Consider the following 5,586-nt stretch of genomic DNA (forward strand, 5'->3'; position numbering starts at 1 on the left):
CTCTCTGTGCAGCATTCCTTCCTGCGGAGTATGGGGTAGAACCCACTCTGGAATGAGGTTCTCATGACCCACAATCAGATGAGAGTCCTGCCTTGGGCAGGTGAAAAGAAGGCAGGAGAAGGTCAGAGAGAGAGATTCCATTTTCTGAGGCCTGTTCCTAAGGCCTAAAGTACCCCAACATTGTGACAAAAGAATATAACAAAGATTATGAGGTTTCTGAGCTAGGAACTGTATATGAAAACCTGTGTGTGTGTGTGTGTGTGTGTGTGTGTGTGTGTGTGTGTGTGTGTGTGTGTGTGTAATCATATCACAAGAGCCATCATCATGCCTCACCCATCCTGGAAGAATACAACCTGAGTGGAGTTACAACAGCCATACGCTGCTCAGTAGCAGCTTTAATGTAAATAGAGGCTGACTCCCAAAGACCAGGTGGGATGAGCTTAACTAGAGCCCCAGAAGCAAGCAAAGAAGGACAGCACATAAATTGCCCACCTCTCCCCTGCTTCCTGGATACCATTAATTCACGCAAACCTTCCCTTGCTTCCAGACTCTATCTACTCCCTAGAGAGGGCAGTTAGAACATTTGAAGTGTCAGATTATTTATCCAAAACACACAGAGTTACCTTAAAATCCAGAGCCACATAAAATCAGCCACCCAAAATTTGAAAAGTACATACTCTGGCCCATCTGCATCGTAGGTTATCAAATTTGACTCCTCTGTACTACAACTGAGTATGCACACTGCTATAGGAACTAAGAAGGTCATTTTTTTTCAGACGATGGAGTTAGAAAAGGCTTCCCACAGGAGTAACATTGGAGGTGAACTTTGAAGGGCAAGCAAGAATTATCCAGCTATGAAGAAACAGAAGTGTATTTCAAGAAATGCAAAAAACATGAGTCAAGGGACTCTGGTAAACTTAAGTACAGCTTGTTCAGGGAAAGCAAAGTTGTCCGAGAGAAGGATTGAGCTTCCATGCAAAAAGAAATCAGGTTGAACAGGAAGGCTGCAGGGCCTGCCTATGGCCGTGAGGGTTACTCCTAGGACCTCTGAGTGGTTGGAGGCTGAAAAACAGCCTTTGCCCTGCTCTCTAAGGGCCCTGTGTACTCTACAGCAGGACAGGGTACACCCTAAGGATGAGACCACCTTTTAGAATGCAAAAAGGCTTGATTCTTTAGCTGAGCCTTAAATCGCAAGGCTTCCTATGCCCAGAGGGGGTGACTTCTCAATTTTGCACAAAGTCATCGTGTAAATTAGCAGGGATTCTTTAAATATGGTCAGATTATAGAAGGCCATGCAAATTTCTTTAAAGGATTTGGGTTTTAAGTAAGAACAGTGAGGAGCCACTGCAGGGTTCTGGGCAGGGGTATGACATGGCAAAAGAAATTATTCCAGCAGCAGCTGTCTGCAAGGCAGATTGGAGCCGAGAGACTCGGGAAGTTACCACAGTTGTCCAGGCATGAAGCAAAAAGGGAAATTTTACGGTATCCATGGCAACTGAAGGGGAAAAATATGAAAATTATTTTGAAGGCAGAAACAACGAACTTGATTACTGATTGGGTATGAGTGCGTGGAAGAGGCAGCAGTAATAAATGACTCAGGGGTTTTGAGCTTAGGAAGCTATGAGAATAAACCTGAAATGGGGACGCTAATCAGGAGAGCTGCTTTGAGGGAGAAAAGAGAGTTTGGTTTAAGACATGTTGAATTTCACATAATGATGAAATGTAGAAGTGGAAATGCTCTCTATACATGTAAAAGGACAAGACTAGGTCATTCTTCCTTTTCTTCATTATTTTTTTCTCTCTCCATGATTTTTGCATACATCTTAGGATCTTTCTCTGAGGGATGTTTGGGAATAAATTTACCACTTCCCTTACTTTTAGTAAACTGTGAAAAAGATCATCATTATCATCATCAACCTTGTCTTCAAGTTAACACAAAGTATTAGTCAACACCTAGTTGTGTTTCACTTTTATGATTCCATGCCCTTGAGAGATTTCCACTCTCTGAAACAGCCAATATTTGCAGGATCAATATGTAGAGAACAGAAAGAGTAGAATAATAATCATCGAATAATACCTACATAAGATTAAAAGTAGTATTCACACTCTACAGGAAGAAACAAAGAAAGAGGAAGGATACTATGCTAGGTTAAGACCTGTGGTCGGGATGCTGGTGATTGGAGATAAAAAGAAAATTAGCAAGAATTTCTTTTTTGGACAGGGCTAATTTAAGTCTTCTCCTTAGGAAGGAAAATGGATTTGGGATACTCCTTACATAATAATTATTATTTTCATTCATCTAGGACTTAACATTTTATACCCATTGTCTTATCTTCTCCATGGATTGCAAACCTTGTGCAAGACCATGTAGCTATTCTGCAGGAAAGCTGGGCCACAAACTGAAATTTCCAGCACGCCAGATTGAGTCATTTGAAGACGAGAAAAAACACAGTGTTTCATGAGGAAATTCAGCTACTTCTTAAAAGATCAGCATGTAAGAATCCAAAAATATTGTTGTTGAGGGCAGCTTCTTCAGCAAGCTCTCCTTCCCTGCCTTTTACAAACAGAAGTCCTTCTGTATGAAAGATCACAAGGGTAGGCTGCTCATCTCTGCCCATTTGAACAGCACATCCCTTTACTCATGCATTTCTGTTTGCCTCAGCCATGATGTTCCTGGATTTCACAAAGAGGGAGTTGTTTCTTGCACAGAGCAGTTCTGTGAGTCAGTGTGAAAAGAACTACCTGCCATATCACCTCCCACTATCTTAGAGAGGAGAGTCAACTTTGATCAAAGAGAGAGAGGAAGAAATGGTATGTTTTCTCTCTCTTGATTTTCCACCTTATTAATTTCCATTATAGTTTAACACTGTGGGTCCAAATCTGGGCTTGCAGTGAGGCAATCTGGTTCATGTTTTTGTCCCATTGATGGACACATTGTTTGCTTTGCTGTTAAAGAGATTTAGTGAAGTCTTTATGGATGCTGAGAAGATTAAAAAGCTTGATTGCAAGATGGTGCCTTCTGGACACAGACACCATTCACAAAGTCTGGTGGTGCTGGTGGAGTCCCACTTACACCTATAAAAAAAGTCTGAATTCATTTAACTTTCTCTGTAAGTTGTAGAAATCAAACATTCACTTTTTACTTACATAACATGTTTTCTTCAAGCTTCCTTTAAATTGTTCACTATACTAAATAGAGGGACTTAAAAAAAAAGAATCTTTATCTTTTGCAGCTACTTCAATGTATGAAAGCTTGATTTCTCTGCTACCCACACAGTTTCCTCTGGGGCTTTAGCCTTACCAGTATTCTATGACTCACTGTGTTACTTTTCATAAATAGATGCTAAATACCATCCCTGATTCTACTGGAAATGGCAGATAAAAATATTCAAGGAAAAATTTTAACTAATGCAGTTAGATTTGAACTATGCAAATCTCCATCAATTTCTCACGTCTCCTTTTTTTCCTCCTTCTCTTTCTCTTTTGTTTTCTGCTCACCAACCTGCTTGTCATAAACAGTGGTTGTCAAGCTCTGTCACATAACTCTGTTCTCTTCATTTCTCATCCCCCACACTGTACTACATAGCCCTTTTATTGGGAGAAGGAGGAGTCGTATTTGATCCTTCTCTCCCTTTCTCTCTTCTCCTTTATTTGCCCATTCTAACCCACACTGCATTTGTTCCCCTCTTATTTATTCTCCCCTAGATCAATCAAGTGTCACTATGGCATGCCTGGGTCCATCAAGTGTCGTTATTTGTCCCAGAAAAAGTTACTTCCTCCTTCCTGAGACCTAGCTGAGTTGTCACCTTCCTTGTTTGCGAAGATTCCTGGGAACCCTTAAGGGGAAGACTCAAGAAAAATAAAGATACCCAGGGTAATTCCAAACCAGACTTGAAAGCAGAAACTGAAAGCAGAGAAAACCACTACATTTAAGATGGTGGCTTAACGATAGCAGTGGAAAAGAAACAGCATGCATTGGGCATAGATATCACATTCTTCCAAGAACTTCGTTGGAGGACAGTTTCTCCGTGGGACTCTCACTTTCTGAACATCTTGCAATTAGAGACGCTGACTTCTTTTGTTCTGAAATATATTTTCAAGGATTCTGCATGGAAAGTAGCCCTGAAATACACAGAATGTACCTTCTTTGAGGCACTGACTTCTTTTGCTTTGAAATATCTTTTTCAAGGATTCTGCATAGAAAGTAGCCTTGAAAGATACAGAATTTACCTCCAGCAACAGGGTAGGCATGCTTACTGTGCATTGTAATGGATTTCAGTTCCCTGGTTTCAGAGTTCTTCTCTTGTCATGTGGCTCATGTGCAGGTGTCACCTGGCCTTCTTCACATCACCCTGTGGAAAATGGGGCTCAAGGAACTGCCACAAAAAATTGATACTCTGCCTATTGCTGTCAATCTGAGTAATAAAATTCTTTGTTTCCAACCCAGGAGTTCTGTCAGCATCTATGAAACTGTAGCAGGCTAATGTATTAACTTACAAGTAGGATAAAATCTCAACCCTTCACAGTTCCTGATAATTTCCAGACATTATGATTTTTTATGCTGTCAGTAGGAATATTAGGTAGATGAAAACTTGGGAGCTAAAATGTCTTCTCTATCAACATTTAGAAATCGTTAAACATACCTCTCCCTCCTCCTCATTCCCACCTCCATCTAGTCTAATGTACCTTCTTAACCTCAATAATGAAAGGCTCTAATGGCCCATTTATTCAGTAGAGTGGATTTCTAAAACCCATTTTCAGATTACAGTTTGTGTGCCAGGATTACATTTGTTTTTATTAATAGAGAAAAGAGTCGAGCAGCTGACTTTTCAATCATTTAATCAACAAATGCATCCAGAGTACTTTCTTACTACTGTGTTAAGTGCTGCATAAAGCAGCCTCAGTTCCTGAAGCATCTTAACTTCTTTCACTGCAATAAAGAAAAATTTCCCTATAAAAAAGAACCTAAATGCTCAAGCCATTCATTCAGAAAGCAACCAGGAGAAACTTTTTTTTTTTTTTTTTGAGAATCGCTCTGCTGCCCAGGCTGGAGTGCAATGGCACAATCTCGGCTCACTGCAAATTCCGCCTCCCAGGTTCAAGCTATTCTCATGTCTCAGCCTCCTCAGTAGCTGGGATTACAGACGTCCACCACCACGAGGCAGGTGGATCACCTGATGTCAAGGGTTCGAGGCCAACCTGACCAACATGGCAAAATGCCATCTCTACTAAAAAAAAAATTTTTTTTATAAGAAGTCCTTTTTTTTATGTTTTAAATTCTCCTGGGTTATAAGAAGTCTTTTAGGCCAGGAGCAGTGGCTCACACCTGTAATCCCAGAACTTTGGGAGGCCGAGGAGGGTGGCTCACCTGAGGTCGGGAGTTTGAGACCATCCTGGCTAACACAGTGAAACCCCGTCTCTAATAAAAATACAAAAAAATTAGCTGGGCCTGGTGGCGGGCGCCTGTAATCCCAGCTACTCGGGAGGCTGAGGCAGGAGAATGGCAAGAACCCGGGAGTTGGAGTTTGCAGTGAGCCGAGATCGCGCCACTGTACTCCAGCTTGGGTGACAGAGTGAGACTCCGTC

The 5,586-nt window shown here is 41.3% G+C and overlaps 1 long non-coding RNA gene across 1 annotated transcript; it reads left to right on the forward strand.

The window, feature by feature from the left end:
• The first annotated feature begins 2,628 nt into the window (after nucleotides 1–2,628).
• On the forward strand, nucleotides 2,629–4,446 carry LOC107984377 (uncharacterized). The gene is made up of 2 exons (XR_001748337.2): nucleotides 2,629–2,811; nucleotides 3,706–4,446. It is a non-coding gene; the product is annotated as an uncharacterized LOC107984377 (long non-coding RNA).
• Nucleotides 4,447–5,586: the final 1,140 nt, after the last annotated feature.

Source organism: Homo sapiens, chromosome 11 (assembly GCF_000001405.40).
Source record: "Homo sapiens chromosome 11, GRCh38.p14 Primary Assembly".
Classification (NCBI taxonomy): Eukaryota; Metazoa; Chordata; class Mammalia; order Primates; family Hominidae; genus Homo; species Homo sapiens.